General features: G+C 45.7%; 1 protein-coding gene and 1 long non-coding RNA gene across 3 annotated transcripts, besides 5 other annotated features; one reads left to right on the top strand and one right to left on the bottom strand.

The window, feature by feature from the left end:
• Positions 1-1,306: 1,306 nt before the first annotated feature.
• Positions 1,307-16,565, bottom strand: ZNF587 (zinc finger protein 587). 2 transcript variants are annotated; one of them, NM_032828.4, is made up of 3 exons: positions 16,353-16,565; positions 10,191-10,320; positions 1,307-7,848 (listed from the first exon to the last, which is right to left on the bottom strand). In NM_032828.4, exons 1-3 carry the CDS (start codon positions 16,383-16,385, stop codon positions 6,284-6,286), a joined length of 1,728 nt encoding a protein of 575 aa, NP_116217.1. In that variant the 5' UTR covers positions 16,386-16,565; the 3' UTR covers positions 1,307-6,283. The 2 variants fall into 2 exon arrangements, with proteins under 2 accessions (NP_116217.1, NP_001191746.1); NM_001204817.2 differs by having other exon boundaries at positions 10,191-10,317.
• LOC124904782 (uncharacterized) lies at positions 7,848-16,109 on the top strand. The gene is made up of 2 exons (XR_007067358.1): positions 7,848-9,407; positions 15,863-16,109. It is a non-coding gene; the product is annotated as an uncharacterized LOC124904782 (long non-coding RNA).
• Positions 14,924-16,123: an enhancer, noted in NCBI's record as "CDK7 strongly-dependent group 2 enhancer chr19:58361669-58362868 (GRCh37/hg19 assembly coordinates)". NCBI's record gives its function as "activates an origin of replication core promoter dependent on BRD2, BRD4, P300/CBP, MED14 and CDK7 cofactors, with strong dependence on CDK7, by STARR-seq in HCT116 cells {active_cell/tissue: HCT116}" and the evidence as "EXISTENCE:reporter gene assay evidence [ECO:0000049][PMID:35650434]".
• Positions 16,178-16,267: an enhancer, noted in NCBI's record as "active region_15167". NCBI's record gives its function as "activates an Ori minimal core promoter by ATAC-STARR-seq in GM12878 lymphoblastoid cells {active_cell/tissue: GM12878}" and the evidence as "EXISTENCE:reporter gene assay evidence [ECO:0000049][PMID:35858748]".
• Positions 16,318-16,557: an enhancer, noted in NCBI's record as "active region_15166". NCBI's record gives its function as "activates an Ori minimal core promoter by ATAC-STARR-seq in GM12878 lymphoblastoid cells {active_cell/tissue: GM12878}" and the evidence as "EXISTENCE:reporter gene assay evidence [ECO:0000049][PMID:35858748]".
• Positions 16,728-16,787: an enhancer, noted in NCBI's record as "active region_15165". NCBI's record gives its function as "activates an Ori minimal core promoter by ATAC-STARR-seq in GM12878 lymphoblastoid cells {active_cell/tissue: GM12878}" and the evidence as "EXISTENCE:reporter gene assay evidence [ECO:0000049][PMID:35858748]".
• Positions 16,858-16,967: an enhancer, noted in NCBI's record as "active region_15164". NCBI's record gives its function as "activates an Ori minimal core promoter by ATAC-STARR-seq in GM12878 lymphoblastoid cells {active_cell/tissue: GM12878}" and the evidence as "EXISTENCE:reporter gene assay evidence [ECO:0000049][PMID:35858748]".

The following is a 19,677-nucleotide window of genomic DNA, read 5'->3' as shown; positions in this document are numbered from 1 at the left end:
GTGTGAGTCACTGTGCCCGGCCGTGTTGTCACTTTTAATGTGCTTTGGTTTTAATTTTCTGTAGAAAAGTAAAACAAATTTTTCCCTTTAAATTTAATCCTTGCTTTTAATGACTTGTGCACCCCAATTTACTAAGAAAATAAACCATTTAAAAAATAATCTTGAGTTGGGCATAGTAGTTTATTCCTGTAATCCCAACACATTGGGAGGCAGAGGCAGGCTGTTGACTTGAGCCGAGGAGATTGAGACCAGCCTGGGCAACATGGCAAAACCCTGTGTCCACAAAAAATGCAAAAATTAGCCAGGCAGGGTGCCTGTCTGTAGTCCCAGCTACCCAGCAGGCTGAGGTGGCACGATCACTTGAACCCTGGGGGTGGTCAAGGCTGCAGTGAGCCATGATCATGCTACTGCATTCCAGCCTGGGCAGCAGAGCAAGATTCTCTCCAAAAATAACATAAAAAGTATGTGTGTGTGTGTGTATATGTACACACATATATACGTATATATGTGTGTACATATACACACACACACACATATATGTATATATATAAAAAATGCCTTTATGTGTAGGCTTGATTTAATTTTCAATTTTATGTGAAGCATAAATTGAGCAGTTTTTCTATCTCAATTTTTAATCTATTTTAACATTGTATTACATTATCTATTATTTTCTCTCCAAATTGATAAGCAATGTACACCCCTCAGACATGGACTGTGATTTCTTTTTTTTTTTTTTGAGACAGAGTCTTGCTCTGTTGCCCATGCTGTAGTGCAGTGCCACGATCTTAACTCACTGCAACCTCTGCCTGCCAGGTTCAAGCAATTCTATGCCTCAGCCTCCTGAGTAGCTGGGATTACAGGTGCTAATTTTTGCATTTTTAGTAAAGACATGGTTTAACCATGTTGGTCAGGCTGGTCTGGAACTCCTGACCTCGTGATCCACCCACCTCGGCCTCCTGAAGTGCTGGGATTACAGGCATGAGCCACCACACCCAGCCAGGAAAGTTCCTTATAGATTCTTTCTAGCTATTGAAAAGAGAATTATAATCATCTAAAGAGGATTAATTCAACACTTAGGGAAAGTAGAGGTTAGCAAGAGGAAGTTACTTCTCTTAGAGTATGTGATTCAAAGGAAAAAATGTGCCACATCAAATATACATGGACTGGCTAAACATTTCTAGGTACATGTAGATTTATAAGCCACTGTAAGATTCAACACAATGAGGAAATTACTGGTGTAATAAAAATAAACATTAGATTGATGAAACACAGTAAAATAATTTCAAACAGGAAAGAGGTATGAATCTTTTGTACAAAAAAAGTTTGACATATATTTAATTCACATACAAGCAGGAAGATTAACTTCATAAGAGAATTAACAAAAGTTGTATTAATTCAAGACAAGAGACTGCAGAGACTAAAATTGCTTAGTACTGAAACTTTTGCTTATATAAACTGTAGTTTATGGAGAAAATAAAGAATTTTTTTGTTTTTTTTGAGGCAGGATCTCACTCTATTCCCCAGGCTAGAGTGCGATGGCACCATCTCGGCTGATTGCAACCTCCATTTTCCAGGAAGGCTCTTTAATTCCCCCTGATTACAAAGGTTTTGTGTGAACATAATTTGGTGTAATAAAAAAAAATTTACACCACAAGAGACAAACATACTCTTCAGTGTGTGTGGTCATAATTTGTTTGAACGAGCCCTTTTAAACTTCTAGATATCATTGAAACTCCTATGTTGATTAAAAATCATCAAAGATCTTTCCAGTGAGAAGGATGAAGATATTACTGAGAATGAAGTATCACTATTTCATGTATGTGCCTGTATGTGCTTATATAACATGCTGTAATACAAGGTGACATTTAGGGGCTGAGACTGTTAACATCTGACTGTACCTTGCTATTTGTAACTTACAATCTTATTCACATTTCTCAAGTGCCATGCCTTTAGGTGCCTATACATCATGCTATCATAGGATTTCTAGGGATAAGCCGAGTGCGGTGGCAGATGCCTGTAATCCCAGCACTTTAGGAGGCCGAGGGGGGTGGATCATGAGGTCAGGAGTTTGAGACCAGCCTGGCTAACGTAGTGAAAGCCCATCTCTACTAAAAATACAAAAATTAGCTGGGCGTGGTGGAGGGAACCTATAGGCCCAGCTACTCGGGAGGCTGAGGCAAGAGAATCACTTGAACCTGGGAGGCGGAGGTTGCAGTGAGCCGAGACCATGCCATTGCACTTCAGCCTGGGTGACAGAGTGAGACTCTGTCTCAAAAAAAAAAAAAAAAAAAAAAATTTAGGGATAATATCTAAGCCCATATAACATGCTGTTATAAAGTTATAAAGTATAACATTTATGGATTGAGTTTTTTTTTTTTTTTTGAGATGATGTGTCTCTCTGTCACCAGGTTGGAGTGCACTGGTGTGATATTGGCTCAGTGCACCTTCCACCTCCCAGGTTCAACCGATTTTCTGGCCTCAGCCTCCCGAGTAGCTGGGACTACAGGCACCCGCCACCATGCCCGACTAATTTTTGTATTTTTAGTAGAGACAGGAATTCACAATATTGGCCAGGGTGGTCTTGAACTCCTGACCTTGTGATCCGCCCACCTCAGCCTCCCAAAGTGGTGGGATTACAGGCCTCAGCCACCACACCTGGCCAAGATTCTTCATATAGCTGATTATCTTGCCATTTCTAACTTACAATCTTTTATCCACATTTCTTAACTTTCTTTTGTTACACTAAACGGGACAGGAAGTCTTAACTCTTGTATCCACCAAGCATGTTAGGAAAATAACAGAGATTCCATTAGCAAATTAAGCTCCCCAAAAAACACAAATACATATCTAAAAAATGTTGCAAAGACAAGAAGTGGCCAGGGCGTGTTGGCTCACGCCTATAATCCCAGCACTTTGGGAGGCTAAGGCGGGCGGATCACGAGGTCTGGAGATCGAGACCATCCTGGCAAATACAGTAAAACCCCGTCTCTACTAAAGAAAAGAATACAGGCCAGGTGCAGTGGCTCACGCCTGTAATTCCAGCACTTTGGGAGGCCGAGGTGGGTGGATCACGAGGTCAGGAGTTTGAGACCAGCCTGACCAACATGGTGAAACCTGGTCTCTGCTAAAAATACAAAAATTAGCTGGGTGTGGTGGCACGCACCTGTAATCCCAGCTAAAGAGGTGGCTGAGGCAAGGAGAAGTGCTTGAATCCAGGAGGTAGAAGTTGCAGTGAGCTGAGATTGCGACACGGCACTCCAACCTGGGCAAGAGAGCAAGACTCTGTCTCAAGAAACAAAACAAAAAAATTAAGCTGACGTGGTGGGCGCTTGTGGTCCCAGCTACTCAGGAGGCTGAGGCAAGAGAATGGCGTGAACCCGGGAGGTGGAGTTGCAGTGAGCCGAGATCGTGCCACTGCACTCCAGCCTGGGTGAAAGAGTGAGACTTCTCAAAAAAAACACAAAGTGTCCACTCAATAACTTTGCTTGAAACTGTCTTCATGTTCTTCACTTCACAAATATAAAGCTGTTACAGTGGACTTTGTGAGGTTCCATGTTTTTGGTCAGCCATAAGAGGAAGAATAATTCAGAGTGAGAGGAAACAGATTCTAGGCAGCCCTCAGGGAAGTTGAGGAGGTGGCACCCTGCCTCCGGGTCCCTCAGAATGTCCCATCTCCCTGTCAGTATCAGTGTCCCAGATAATCTTCTTCTGATTGGGACATTTCCCTGGGAACAGTGGTTACTTGCCAAATTCACATTTACGGCCAAAACTGTGGCTGCAGTGTCGACATTCATGCAAGTGGGGAAATGGGCATGTGACCCCTGAAAAAAGATTCTGGATTCCATAATCTCACCTTGCTGAGAAGAAACTGCCATTTCAGCAGAAAGTGCAATGACAGTTTCTGCACAGGGACTGGAGATTATCTCTAGAAAAGAGCTTGGAGTGAGGAAATTAGTTAATGTGGATGAATGACGTTACCCATGGAGAATGAAGTAAGTAGCTAGAAGACAAAAGCCTCAGAACACATAAATCTCAATGGGTATTGAGTAGAGGACTCAGAGCTCTGAGATAATTGGAGCTCATGGCTATCCTAGAACTTGGATAACATAAAGTTCTTGTTTCTACAAAGTGTGTATCCTTTCCATATGTGAGAACTGTGAGGAAGTACAAACTTGGAACAAAAGAAATAGTAAGGTAATCTTAGAAAGATGTTGAAAAGAAAGCTATGGTGGCATCTTAACTGTTTCACTGCCTGGCAATCTATATGTATTGTCACTTTGGGACGCTTATGATTCCACATGAAGTGGATAACCAGCTCATAGTTCTTGTGGTACTGAAAACCAAGTATTCAGCCAGGTACAGTGGCTGACACCTGTAATCCCAGCACTTTGGGAGGCCGAGGCAGGTGGATCACTTGAGCTCAGAAGGTAGAGAGCAGCCTGGGTAACATGGTGAAACCCCATCTCTACTAAAATAAATAAATAAAATTAGCCAGGTATAATGGCACATGCCTGTAGTCCCAGCTACTCAGGAGGCTGAGGCAGAATCGCTTGAACACAGGAGGTGGAGGTTGCAGTGGGCCGAGATCATGCCACTTCACTGTAGCTTAGGAGACAGAGCTAGACTCCATCTGGAAAAAAAAAAAAAAAAGAAAACCAAATATTCCTTGCAGCAAAGTGACATCACTGAAGAATGAATGAAGTCCAACATACGTCTTTGTTATTTCATTATTTTTAAATATATTAATGAAATGGGAAATAGATAAAATTCATTTTAAAAAACAAGCCTACAGGTGAGGCCAGGCAGGGTGCCTCACCCCTGTAGACCAAGCACTTTTGGAGCCTAGGCAAGTGGATCGCCTGAGCCCAGGAGTTCGCGATCAGACTGGGCAAAAAGGTAAAACCCTCTCTACAGAAAATACAAAAGTTATCCAGTTGTGGTGGTGCATACCTGTATTTCCAGCTACTCTGGAGGCTGAGGTGGGCAGAGTGCTTGAGCCCAGGAAGCAGAGGTTGCAATGAGCTGAGATTGTGCCACGGTACTCTAGCCTGGGAGACAGAGCGAGACTTTGTCTCAAAACAAAAAAAATGCAAAACATAAACCACTGACTCAAAAGTTATAACCACTTATTAAAATAATAAACAATTTCAAATACTAACCATACTCCCTCTTGGTAAGATAGAACAGAAATTCTTGGACACTGATGGTAGATAGATATACAAATGAGCAATAATTTCATTCTTAAGTCATAGTTTGGCATTGCTTAAAAAGTTGTACATTAGGCCAAGCACAGTAGGTCACACCTGAGAAGCTGAGGCAGGCAGATCACTTGAGGTCAGTTCATAACAAGCCTGGCCAGCATGGTGAAACCCCATTGCTAATAGAAATAAAAAAAAAAGTTATCCAGGCATGGTGGTGCACACCGGTAATCCCTGCTACTCGGGAGGCTGAGGCAGAAGAATCAGTTGAACTTGGGAGGCAGAGGTTGCAGTGAGCCGAAATCATGCCACCTAACTCCCGCCTGGGTGACAGAGTGAGACTCTGTCTCAAAAAAGAGTTGTACTTTAATCTATCACGTGACTCAGGCACTGCACACCACCATATTACCATAGTGAAACATACCTACATGAACAACTGCATTCAAATATAGCAGTTTCATTTATAACAGACAAAAACAAGAAGCATGTCATTCTTTTTTCTTTTTGTAGAGAGGAGGTCTGGCTATGTTGCCCAGGCTGATCTCTAACTCCTGGCCTCCAATGAACCACCTTGTCCTCCCAAAGCATCAGGTTTACAAGCATGAGCCACCATGCCTGGTTCAGCATGTCATATTCTAAGCAATACGAAAAGAATGAAGGCCAGGTGCAGAGGCTCATGCCTGTAATTTCAGCACTTTGGGAGTCAAGGTGGGTGGATCACTTGAGGTCAGGAGTTTGAGACCAGCCTGGCCAACATGGTAAAACCCCATCTCCACTAAAAACACAAAAATTAGCTGGGCGTGGTGGTGTGTACTCATAATCCCAGCTACTCAGGAGGCTGAGGTAGGAGGATTGCATGAACCCAGGAGGCCCAAGTTGCAGCGAGCCAAGACTGCACCACTGCACTCCAGCCTGGGTGACAGAACAAGACTCCATCTCAACACGAAGTCGCTTAAGACCGAGGACAGCAGACATTCTGATGTTTTCCACATTGACAGCACTCATAAGGCCTTTCTCCAGTATGAACTCTCCTGTGTTTAACGAGACGGGATGCTTCAGCAAACGATTTCCCATATTCACTGCACTCATAAGGCCTTTCTCCTGTGTGAACTCTGATGATGAAGGAGGGTAGAGCTTCGCTGAAATGTTTTTCCACATTTGGTGCATTCATAAGGCCTTTCTCCAGTGTGAATTCTCCTGTGTTTAATGAGACTGGAACATTCAGAAAAGGATTTTCCACATTCACTGCACTTATAAGGCTTTTGTCCAGAATGAACTCTTTTATGAACATGAAGCGCAGAGCTGGAAAGAAATGATTTCCCACATTCACTGCATTCATACGGCCTTTCTCCAGTGTGAATCCTCTGATGTATAGTCACGCTGTGCTTATTGCCAAATAATTTCCCACATACCTCACACGCATATGGCCTTTCTCCAGTGTGAACTCTCTCATGAACCAGAAGATGATACTTCCTGTTAAATAATTTCCCACATTCCCTACAATTGTAAGGTCTTTCCCCAGTGTGAAGTCTCTGGTGTTCAGTGAGGTGGGATCTGTACCTAAATGATTTCCCACATTCCTTGCACTCATAGGGCCTTTCTCCAGTATGACCTCGCTGATGGTGAACGAGGTTGCCCTTTTGACCAAAAGATTTCCCACATTCTCCACACTTGTAAGGCCTTTCTCCAGTGTGAACACGCTGATGGTTAATAAAGCAGAACTTCTGACGAAAAGATTTCCCACATTCCCCACAGTGATAAGCTCTCTCTCCAGTGTGACCTTGCTGATGTTGAATGAGGTTACCCTTTTGACCAAAAGATTTCCCACATTCTCTACACTCATAAGGCCCTTCTCCAGTGTGAACAAGCTGATGGCTAATAAGGCTGCCCTTCTGACTAAAAGATTTCCCGCACTCCTCACAGGGATAAGCTGTCTGTCCAGTGTGGACTCGCTGATGTTGAATAAGGCTGCTCTTTCGACTATAAGATTTCCCACACTCTCCACAATCATAAGGTCCTTTTGCAGTGTGATCTCGCTGATGATTACTGAAGCTGACATATCTGCTAAAGGATTTTCCACAATCACTGCACACATAACATCCATCTCTAGTGAAAAGTTTCTGGTGTGGAATAACTGAGTGTTTGGTGCTGAAGGCTTTTGTGCGTTTTCCACAACTGTAATTAGTTTTTCCCTCCTGAAAGGGTGGGCCATGCATAGTTTCACTGTCTGTCTTCTCTACAGCAGCTTCTTCTTGGCACAATCCTGAACTGGGCAGAACGTCCTTCCCAAACTCGCGGAAGACAAATGGCTCCTGTGACACCCTGAGCTTACGTTTCTTTACAAACGATGCTTCTCTGACACTCTTTCTGTAGAATTTCTCTCCAATATGCTGCTTCTGGTGCTGATGAAGGTATGCAGTGTCATCCAAGTTTTTTCCACATGCTCCACTCCTGTTCAGCTTCTGCTTGTGATGAGTTTCCTGGTGGTCAGCAAAGTGAAAAACATCCTCCAAGATGAGGCCACACATTTCACAGGGGTGAGCCTTCTTAGGAGAAACACCTGCCCTAGGAGTCCTGCTCTGAGACTCTCTTTGTACAGAAATTCTCTGCTTACAAGGTGCCTCCTCATCTTTTGATCCACACCAACAACCTGAAAGCAAGAAAATGCTGGTCAAGTGCAAAGTACCTCCGGCGGGAAGGCACAGCCCACCCACAAGTACGTCTCACAAATTGAGGAATTAATCTATAGAAATATTTGCAGGAACACAATGTTGGCTTCAAGTTGAAGATGGGGCTGCTGGCTGGGCATGGTGGCTCACACCTGTAATCCCAGCACTTTGGGAGGCTGAGGCGGGTGGATCACCTGAGGTCAGAAGTTCAAGACCAGCATGAACAACATGGTGAAACCCCATCTCTACTAAAAATACAAAAATTAGCTGGATGTGGTTGTGGACACCTGTAATCCCAGCTACTCGGGAGGCTAAAGCAGGAGAATCATTTGAACCCAGAAGGCAGAGGTTTGTAGTGAGCAGTGATTACGCCACTGCACCCCAGCCTGGACAACAGAGTGAGACTCAATCACAAAAAAAAAAAAAAAAAAAAAGATGGGGCTTCTTAGAATTCCTGGGCTATAAAGGTCACAGAATCCAGGAGGCTTCATGATGTAAAGAGCACAAGCATATATGCAACACAGGGAGTAGAGGCAGGGTCTACAGCTCCTTCCTCTACAAACAAGTTGTGTACAGGACCTTATCTCCTGATGACATGTGAGTGCTATATAGAAGAATATGGGCCGGGCACGGTGGCTCACTCCTGTAATCCCAGCACTTTGCAAGGCCGAGGCGGGCAGATCACCTGACGTCAGGAGTTCGAGACCAGCCTGGCTAATATAGTGAAACCCTGTATCTACTAAAAATACAAAAAGTCAGTCAGGCATGGTGGCATGTGCCTGTAATCCCAGCTACTTGGGAGGCTGAGGCAGGAGAATCGCTTGAACCCAGGAGGCAGAGGTTACACTGAGCCGAGATCATACCATTGCACTCCAGCTTGGGCAACAAGAGCAAAACTCTCTCTCAAAAATATACATATACACACACACATATATATATATACACATACACACATATATATACATCTATATATATATAGAAACATGTGAAGACCAAGAAAACATGAGTACAACACAGCAGGGGTGGTCATAGATGGTTTAACCATGGGCATACACTTCCTAATACGTAATCAATACACCAATATCAGAGACAACTGCAGATGAAAGCAAAAGAAAAATGGGTGAGATGTGGAGTCCAGAAATGTGAGTATTAGTGCTGGGGTGGATATCACTGCAGAAATGAAAAGGTACAGAACTAACACATGTGAAACTCTCAACAATGGGGAGAAAAAGACAAATAGTGTGTGCCTACTCATATTGCCCCAAAAATACTTGGCAAATGTAAATGGTTTCTGGTATGATTTGGATAAACCCCTGAAGTCATGCCCTCCCCCAGCATGGCACTCCTGAGGGACAGGCTCCCTTTGAGCCTATCGTGATGAGCCTGAATTGAACCACATCTTGTCAAACATGGAGGACTCTCCATCTCACACCCAGTACATAGGACCCGACGATGTAACTATGAAAGGAGAGATAGCAGAGATGAACAGCCAACACTAGCTCAGGACAACTAAGCACCTGACAGCCCACAGGAGAGTAAGGTAAGTATTACAAAAGAATTCCTAAGCAGGGTCTTGCAAGAAGAGTCTATGGTCTATGGTCTATGTAGGTAGTGACAATGTCAATGAAGGCAATTCTTGGCACAGGGAGGCACAAAGCATTGTCAGATAGAGGAAGGAAGTGTTAATAGAACCTGGGCACACAAGAGCTACCGATTTGGACAGTCACCTGACAGCCAGAGGCAGGCAAAGTGGATACATTAAGGTGCCTATAAGACTCCTGACTCTGACTCCTTCCCTGGGAGCCTGGAGCAAAGCAGGTGTTGGAGCTGCTTAAGGAGAGGAAAAGGTGGCTGGGCGTGGTGGCTCACGCCTATAATCCCAGCACTTTGGGAGGCCAAGGCAGGTGGATCACGAGGTCAGGAGATCAAGACCATCCTGGCTAACACGGTGAAACCTCGTCTCTACTAAAAAACAAAAAAAATTAGCCAGGCGTGGTGGTAGTCGCCTGTAGTCCCAGCTACTTGAGAGGCTGAGGCAGGAGAACGGCATGAACCCGGGAGGTGGAGCTTGCAGTGAGCCGAGATGGCGCCGCTGTACTCCAGCCTGGGTGACAGAGCGAGACACTGTCTCAGAAAAAAAAAAAAAACAGGAGAGGAAAAGGCAATACACACACCTTACTCCTACGAACCACACAACTTACACAGAGAAGTGCAGAAGGAACCTGTGTCCAGGCTCCTTAGGTGAGAAAGACAGTCCTGTCAATGAAAAACAGGGGAACAGTAACACTAGCTCAGGTCACAAAGGTGAGCGTGAGCAACTTACCCAGCGAGGATATGAGAGCCAGGTTCTCTAGCATCACATCACGGTACAAGCACCTCTGAGCCTCACTAAGAAGACACCACTCCTCCTGGGAAAAGTTCACAGCCACATCTTCAAAGGTCACAGTGCCCTGCTATGATAGTGACAGATGAAACCACAAGCAGCCCCTCTGCTGAGGTACCACAACCCACCTCTCCCACACACCCACCCTTGCCCATCCTCCTCCCAAGGTCCCCAACACGGAGTTGAAACCACATCCACTGGTGCCTTTGTCTCTTCATGGGCCTGCTGGTCAAATGCCATCAGCAACAAGAAGTAGGTGGACAAATAGGTATCCATGCTGAGGTCCTGACATAAAAAGGTCCACTCCCTTCTGGGCTGGGTGCGGTGGCTCACGCCTGTAATCCCAGCACTTTGGGACACTGATTCGGGCAGATCTTGCAGTCAGGGGATAGAGACTATGCTGGTTAACATGGTGAAACCCTGTCTCTACTAAAAATACAAAAAATTAGCCGGGCATGGTGGTGGGCACCTGTAGTCCCAGCTACTCGGGAGGCTGAGGCCGGAGAATGGCGTGAACCCAGGAGGCGGGGTTTGTAGTGAGCCGAGATCACACCACTGCACTCCACCCTGGCCAACAGAGCGAGACACCATCTCAAAAAAAAAAAAAACAAAAAAAGCCCACACCCCCTTCTGAACAGCGATATCCAAGGTCACGTAAAGCCCAAGGCAGCTGCCTGAGTCCATCAGACAACCTCGCTCTCATTAAATATATATCATTCTTTATACTGTACAGACACATGCCCATGGCCACCCCCACCAGAGTTTCCCCAACCTTCAGCCCCTCTCTGGCATCCCCAGAAGTAAAAGTTTATTTTTGGGGGATTTTTTTGAGACATAGTCTAGCTCTGCCACCCAGGCTGGAGTGCAGGAACACAATCATGGCTCACTGCAGCCTCCGCCTCCCAGGTTCAAGTGATTCTTGTGCCTCAGCCTCCCAAGTAGCTGGGATTACAGCCATGTACCACTACACTCGGCTAATTTTTTTTTTTTGAGACGGAGTCTTGCTGTGTCCCCCAGGCTGGAGGGCAGTAGCATGATCTCAGCTCAGTGCAAGCTCTGCCTCCCAGGTTCAGGCCATTCTCCTGCCTCAGCCTCCCGAGTAGCTGGGACTACAGGTGCCCACCACCACAGCTGGCTAATTTTTTGTATTTTTTTTTTTTTAGTAGAGACGGGGTTTCACTGTGTTAGCCAGGATGGTCTCGATCTCCATACTTCCTGATCCACCCACCTCAGCATCCCAAAGTGCTGGGATTCCAGGCTTGAGCCACCATGCCTGGCCTGTATTTTTTTTTTTTAGTAGAGACGGGGTTTCACCATGTTGGCCAGGCTGGTCTTGAATTTCTGGTCTCAAGTGATCCACCAGCCTTGGCCTCTGAAAGTGAGGAGATTATAGGGGTGAGCCACCACACCCAGCGCCTACAAATAAAATTATTTCACAAGATGAAGAGGGTATAACGGCCCATGATTCCCTTGGGAATATGCAATGGTTTGTTTCCATAACTCTGCTGGTAGGGATGGAATTGAAACCCACCACAAAATATAACAACCTGGAACCCTGCCTTATCACCTTGATAAAACGGGCTGTTAGGCTAGGATACATTATTCAAGAGAGCAGAGTGGGAATGAGATTTGTACTCACACCTTTTAAGGTTGTCCCACTTTCACAAGATGTCAAAGTGACACATCATATTGGGCCTTCAATTCTGGCCTTATACCAAAATGTGGATAAGCATCCAGACTATGCTTGACAAATACAAATAGCATCCAATATTAACACAGAATTTCCATGGTTTACAATAGCAGTGGTAATCCCAAATCATCCTGTGAACGTCTCCTGGAATGACTCCATAGCCACACAGAACCACATATGGCTTCAGATAGCCATGGCCCTATTTCACTTTTGTGCTGCACCAGCTGAGACCTCAGCTGTAGCAACCCTCCTCTGTCCACCTAATGCCGTTTAAAGCCCAGCCCCTGGATTTGTGAACCAAACCACATCTACTATCACAGATGAGCATATTTTTCACTGCCCATATGCACCAGGCTGAATGAAACTCCCCAGGCACTCCCAAAGTCATCTCAAAATGTTTATGAGTCCAGACAGTGATAAATAGTTACAACTGGCCAGGCACAGTGGCTCACGCCTGCAATTCCAGCACTTTGAGGCCGAGGCAGGCAGATCACCCGGTCAGGAGTTCAAGACTAGCCTGGTCAGCATGGTGAAACCCTGTCTCTACCGAAAATACAAAAATTAGCCTGCTGTGGTGGCAGGTGCCTGTAATACTAGCTACTTGGGAGGCTGAGGCAGGAGAATTGCTTGAACCCAGGAGGTGGAGGTTGCAGTGAGCCGAGATGGCACCATTGCACTCCAGCTTGGGCAACAAGAGCGAAACTCCATCTGAAAAAAAAAAAAAAACAAAAAAGTTACAACTTTGGCACCAACTCAGGCCTAAGTGTCATCTTCCCTGAATTACTCCTGTGCTTCTGCATGCATCTATCTCTTCTCTATTATCTCTTTGGATGTCTATGTCCCCTTCCAAACTCTACTGTATTAAATGTCCTGTTATGATGGTCACTCACACCCTCTCAGGTGTTTAGGAAGCCCAATAACATCAATTGAGGACGTAAGTAAGAGATCCAGTCCTCAGCCTGTAATCACACCTTTCTGCCCCCTGAAAAGATTTACCACCATAATCTGAAGCATGTCCTCCTAAATGGACCCATAACTAATCATAGTTCACTCATTAGCTTTCATATATTGGATGTCTCCAGTATCAACACCCTCCCAGATACCCCATCCAGTATGTCTAGTTATCGATTTGATGCCACCACTTATTGGTCTCTGATTCTTCATATGGCCAAAACAACCCTCTGGATATCCACAGTGAATATTATGTCAATACCAACGTCATCTCAGCTGAAGCAGTGTGCATGGTTACAGCTGCTAAGATCAAAAACCTTGGGCTCATGCCCGATTCCTCTTTCATGCTCCTATCATCCACATTAGAAAATCTAGCTGTCTGCAAGGCATGGTGGCTCGTGCCTATAATCCCAGCACTTGGGGAGGCAGAGGCCAGCGAATCTCCTGAGGTCAGGAGTTTGAGACTAGCCTGGCCAACATGGTGAAACCCCGACTTTACTAAAAATAGAAAAATTAGCCGAGTGTGGTGGTACATGCCTGTAATCCCAGCTACTCAGGAGGCTGAGGCAGGAGAATCACTTGAGCCCAGGAGGTGAAGGTTGCAGTGGGCTGAGATTGTGCCACTAGACTCCAGGCTGGACAAGAGAGTGAAACTCCGTCTCAAAAAAAAAAAAAAAAAAAAAAAAAAAAAAGCCTAGCTGTCTCGGCTGGGCGCATTGGTCCATGCCTATAATCCCAGCACTTTGGGAGGCCGAGATGTGACGATCACTTGAGGTCAGGAGTTCGAGACCAGCCTGGCCAACATGGTAAAACCTCGTCTCTACTAAAAATACAAAAATTAGCTGGGCATGATGGTGGGTGCCTGTAATGCCAGCTACCTTGAATGCTGAGGCAGGAGAATTGCTTGAACCTGGGAGGCAGAGGCTCCAGTGAGCCCAAGATTGCGCCATTGCACTCCAGCCTGGGCAACAAGACTGAAATTCCACGTTAAGAAAAAAAAAAGAAAACCTAGCTGTCTCTTTACAAAAAGTGAATCCTGAATCCAGACCCATGTGATTTACCACTTATCTGATCCATTAACCCTCACCTGGATTATGGCAGGAGCCTTATCTCTGACCTTTCTTCCTCTTCCCTCAACCCACAGTCTATGCAACAAGGTCCAGCCAGATGAAGCCTGTAGCCAGGTAGAACTGTGGTAATATCACCTCCTGACTTTGATCCGTTTTATCTCTAAGCATTTCACAACCTGGTAGCAAATCCTGGGTTAATCTTACAAGGGTGTTTACATTGGTTGACAGAAATGGGAATACCTCCATATAACCTGTCATGGACTTGGTATCCTGGCTTCAGAGATTCTCCAGGGTCCTCGGATCAAAGGACTGAAAAAAATGGCACTTAAGAGTCCCAGGACACCACAAGCTAGAGAACCTGTAGATGGCGTCAGGACCAATGAGGGAATGGAACACCCTCCACTTCCCTGTGTGGGTTCCCTAAGTGCTTCTGCAGCCAGGAGTGCCTGAGGGGAAAGGCAGACATTACAAACATGTCACAGGATTTGATAAGCTCAGGACTCCCTGAACCCTTTCTTGTCCCTGGAACCAGGTAACCCTAAGGCTGGTTGTCTGACCTGCTTTTCTCAGTGCAAAATGTCATCTCTACCATCTATGTGATCTACAAAACGGATTCAACCTCCCAAGGCCCCAAAGTCCTCATCCTCTCTCTCTATGATGTTCTTCCTTTGATTGGCCTTTGGGAAACTTCTTAAAAGCCTGGATTTGGATCATGTCCCTCCTTTCTTCAAAACTCTCCATGGCTTCTAGAATCCTCATGATGAATGCACAGCCCCTGGCCTGCTTGCTCTACCAGGAAGAGCTCCATCTCACACGTTGTTCCTGACAGATGCCTGTGAACCCCAGGTTCCATCCTTCCAGCTCTGTCCATCTGCAGGCCATTGCCTGCACCCCTACCTGTGCCTGTCACTCTCCCCACTGCATCCCACTGGTGTCAGAAACAGGTGAAACCGACTTTGCAAAATTATAACTGACGAAATTATGACAGTGAAAGAAATCAGACCTAACCGACTCCATCTTGCTTCCAACCTTTCAGCCGTCTTTTTTCATTCCTGGGCATAGGCTGAATTAACTTTGGAAAAGAATTCAGTTCATGGTTTCACTCTGAAACAAAATTGATAATAGCCCTTTCCTGAAAAGACCCCTTTCTTGCCTGGGGACCAGCCTGTCTTTGCAGGACTAACAAATTAGCTACAAGAATAGAAATTACGGTTTAGGGGTCATGCAGCTTCTGGCTCCAAGAGTCTGAACCTCCCCAAGTTGCTCCTGAAGATAACCTTACTATTGTAAAACCTAATGTGAGTTTCTGGGGTGCTAGTTGAGTTGGTCTCCCCTGTGTGAGACACCCATGGGAAGCCATGGGCGGCCTCTGAGGAGAAAAGTCTCCTTATTGCCTTCATGTCTTTATGCCCCGAGAGCATAACTCTTCAGCAGCATTCCATGGGTTGCTCAGGGAGATCACACTCCCTTGAAGCAGTGGAGCATAATCAAACATCTTGGCTCCTCCTGAAACCCGCAGCCACCCGTTTCAGTTAAGTTAAAGATCTTAAGTAGTTTAGACACACGCCTTTGTTCAAGGAAATTCACAGAAACGGCCAGTGCTTTACATCTTATGGAATGACTCACGAGTTCTCCTTTACTGATTAATCCTTTTCCTGATCGCTTCCTCCCCCTCCAATCAGCCATAAGAACAAAGAGCTTGTAAACCAATAAACTGGGTGGAGCCCAAGAGCTCTGGGCCGCCAGGAAGCCTCCAATGCTCTGGCCACCTGGACCCGCCTTTTAAATGCGTATTCTGTCTCTTTCTAACTCCTTTGTCTCCGCAGGACTCGGGGTATCTGCTGGGTGGTGTGGGGCTGGTTTCCCCAATATCTAAGATCAGTGCTTGGGGCATTTTGCAGATCCTGCACTGGATGGATCAGCGGACAACACACAGACCGGTAATCTGGGTCAATCAGTTCTGCCATCCCACCCAGAACAGAAAACAGCATGAAAAACTCACTTTAACCCCCTATGAATCCATCTCCAACCAGACTGATCAGCACTCCCCACTTCCCAAGCCCCTACCCGCCAAATTTTGAAAACTCTGATCCCAGAATGCTCAGGGAGACTGATTTGAATAATAAAACTCCTGTCTCCCGAACAGCAGGACGGCTCTGCGTGAATTACTATTTCTCCATCGCAATTCCCCAGTCTTCATAAATCGGCTCTGTCTAGGCAGCTGGCAACGTGAACCCACTGGACGGTTACAAGGAGAGGCCTCCTGTGAGCGCCTCAGTGTTCCTACGCCGGGTACCGGCTACAGACCCACGAGCAGGAGCCGCTCCCTCGCTGGTTTAGGACCTGGGTGACGATGGGGTGACCTGAGGGCACAGAAGGCACCACAATTACCTGAGTTGGGCGCCTCGGCACAGCCGCTGCCATCGGACTACTTGGGGAAGCACGGCCCGGGAGCAGTGGTCGCCGTCACGGGGCTGCAGAGCCGCCTCTGGGCACCGAGGACGATTCCTCTCCACCTTCTAGGTTCAGTCACCGCGGTCCCACCCAGCACTCAGGGGCCACAAACTGGGGAAACACCCGCATCGCCGATACACAGCCGCTACTAGAGACCCCGGAAGTCTCGGCCTTACGTTACGTGCACACGTGGAAATGCCTTCTTTCCGAGTGCTCACTGGCTCTGACCGGCTGTCGTTTAAAGCAGAGCTTTCTGGGTAATGTAGTTCCCCACTTTCCATGACACAACATGGTTACCAGGTTCTGAAATGTTCATGGCTCAGATGCACCTCCAAGCCTTTGTACCTATTGGTTCCTCTACCTGTATTACTCTAGCTGGGGTGAAGCCTGTAATACACAGCATTTACCTGAGCTAGGTCCCTCAGTGTGGCTGCTGCCATCAACTGTGGGTGGAGCAGGCATCACCCCAGCCAGTGCCTATGAGCCTCAGACCTGCCACTTGGGAGCAGAGATGACTACTCCTCTTGTGCCTTCTCAGTCCCAACCCAGTACTCCCTGGCCTGACAAGCATGCCCAGAAATCCCTCATCCTGGGCCTTGCAACTAGCGCCTTCTGGGTAAAGTACTTCCCAGAGCTCTCAGCCAACAATGGTGGTATCCTCCAAGAGCAAACCGAATGCAGACCATGTTACATTCTGAGGGCTGCTGGAAAGCCCTGCTCACACCTCAAAGGAGGAAGATTATTGATTCTTTGTAAAAGCATCAAATAGGTATCACATCAGACTCTAGGAAGCTCATCCTGCACCCAGAGAATAAAAATACTATTTGAGATGCTCCCAAACTTTACTTATCTAAGTGGCCATATCATTGGCATCATTCAGACTTACAATGTGTGCACTCAGAGCTGAGAACATTAAGTATTGATTGCTCTTTAAATTCACGTAGACTGAATCATTACAGTCAGTTTTGCGAGTTTCATTGTTTTGTTGGGAACAAAAGAAAATTCTCCATAAGACATGATGACAGGATGGGTACAAAAAACAGTGAGCAAAAATGAATAAGACCTAATATTTGCTACCATAACAGGGTGGCTATAGTCAAAATAATTTAATTATATATTTAAAAATAACTAAAAGAGTATAACTGGACTGTTTATAATACAGAGGATAAATGTTGAGGTGACTGAGACCCCATTTACCCTATGTGATTATCACATATGGCATGGCTACATCAAAATATCTAATGTAATCTACAAATATATACACTACTATATACCCACAAAAAATAAAAATAAAGGCCAGACATGGTGGCTCACACCTGTAATCCCAGCACTTTGGGAGGCCAAGGCAGGTGGATCACCTGAGGTCGGGAGTTCGAGACCAGCCTGGCCAACATGGAGAAACCGTGTCTCTACTGAAAGTACAAAATTTTCCAGGCATGGTGCTGCATGCCTCCAATTCCAGCTACTCGGGAGGCTGAGGTAGGAGAATTACTTGAACCCTGGAGGTGGAGGTTGCGATGAGTCGAGATCATGCCATTGCACTCCAGCCTGGGCAACAGGAGTGAGACTCTGTCTCAAAAAAAATAAAAAATAAAAAATAAATAAATTGCTGGGTGCAGTGGCTCATGCCTATAATCCCAACACTTTGGGAGGCTGAGTCAGGTGGATCATGAGGTCAGGAGTTCGAGACCAGCCTGACCAATATGGTGAAACCCCATCTCTAATAAAAATAAAAAAATTAGCCGGGCACGGTTGCTCACGCCTGTAATCCCAGCACTTTGGGAGGCCGAGGTGGACAGATCATGAAGTCAGGAGATCAAGACCATCCTGGCTAACACAGCAAAACCCATGTTAAAAAAATTGCTGGGCATGGTGGCAGACACCTGTAGTCCCAGCTACTCGGGAGGCTGAGGCAGGAGAATCGCCTGAACTCTGGAGGCAGAGGTTGCAATGAGCTGAGATCGCATGACTGCACTCCAGCCTGGCGACAGAGCTAGACTCCGTCTCAAAAAAATAAAATAATAATAAAGATCTAATGACAGGGAAATAGACGGATGTTGGTACACCCTGAAGCAGGTAGTGAAGCTGGCAGTTGGCCACTGGTTCCCACAGAAAATTGCTCTAGTGATGCTAGCAAATCCCAAAATTGGGGCTCAATCCAGGAGGGTTCCTGGCTTCATAAAGGAAATAATTCAAGAGCAAGCCAAGAGTGTAAAGTGAAGGCAAAGCAAGTTTATGAGAGCAAGAGAACAGGAAAATGGCTGCTCCACAGACAGAGCAGGGCTACTCCACAGGCAAAGTAGCACCCGTGGATTGTTGGCTAGCTATATTTATAGCTACTCCTTAATTATGTGCTAAATAAGAGGTGGGTTATTCATGAATTTTCTAGAAAAAGAGTGGGGAGTTCCCAGAACCAGGGGTTCCTTCTCTTTTAAACTACATGAGGTAGCTTCTGGGCATTGCCATAGCATTTGTAAACGGCCATGGTGCTGGTGGGAGTGTCTTTTAGCATGCTAATACATTATAATGAGCATATAATGAGCAGTGAGGCAATGAGGGTAACTAGAGTTCATATTCTTGCCATCTTAGTTTTACTGCTTTCAGCTGGTTTCTTTAGTGCATCCTGTTTTGACCAGATCCTGTTTCATCATGAGCAGGGTCATGACCAGTGCTCAGAACACAAGTCCTGCTGATCTATGTCACTATGAGGATCACTATGTCAATATGTTTCTTAATTCATATGCTAAGGTGTACTCAATTTCTTTAATCACATTGACATCTATCTCAAAGGACGAGCAACTTAGCCAATGCCATTGTGGTACACACATCAGTCGCTACAACTTTCACCATTAAAGCACAGGTTAAAAAGGCCATCTGAATAACAATATAAACACGGCATCTGAGCTCCAAAATTTCATCTCCTTACAAGAAAGTGGTTATTATTTTCCAGTGACTGCAGGAATAGTTTCACACTGGGAACTGGGATTATCTCAGAATAAATTTTTTTTTTTCTTTTTTGAAACAGAGTCTCACTCTGTTGCGCAGGCTGGAGTGCAGTGGTGTGATCTCAGCTCACTGTAACCTCTGCCTCCTGGGTTCAAGTGATTCTCCTGCCTCAGCCTCCTGAGTGAGTAGCTGGGATTACAGGCATGCGCCACCATGCCTGGCTAATTTCTGTATTTTTAGTACAGATGGGGATTCACCATGTTGGCCAGCCTGGTCTCAAACTCCTGACCTCAAGTGATCCACCCACCTGCGCTTC

The sequence above is a fragment of the Homo sapiens genome, chromosome 19 (assembly GCF_000001405.40).
Source record: "Homo sapiens chromosome 19, GRCh38.p14 Primary Assembly".
In the NCBI taxonomy this organism is placed as follows: domain Eukaryota; kingdom Metazoa; phylum Chordata; class Mammalia; order Primates; family Hominidae; genus Homo; species Homo sapiens.
This window is presented reverse-complemented; position numbering and strand designations above follow the sequence as displayed.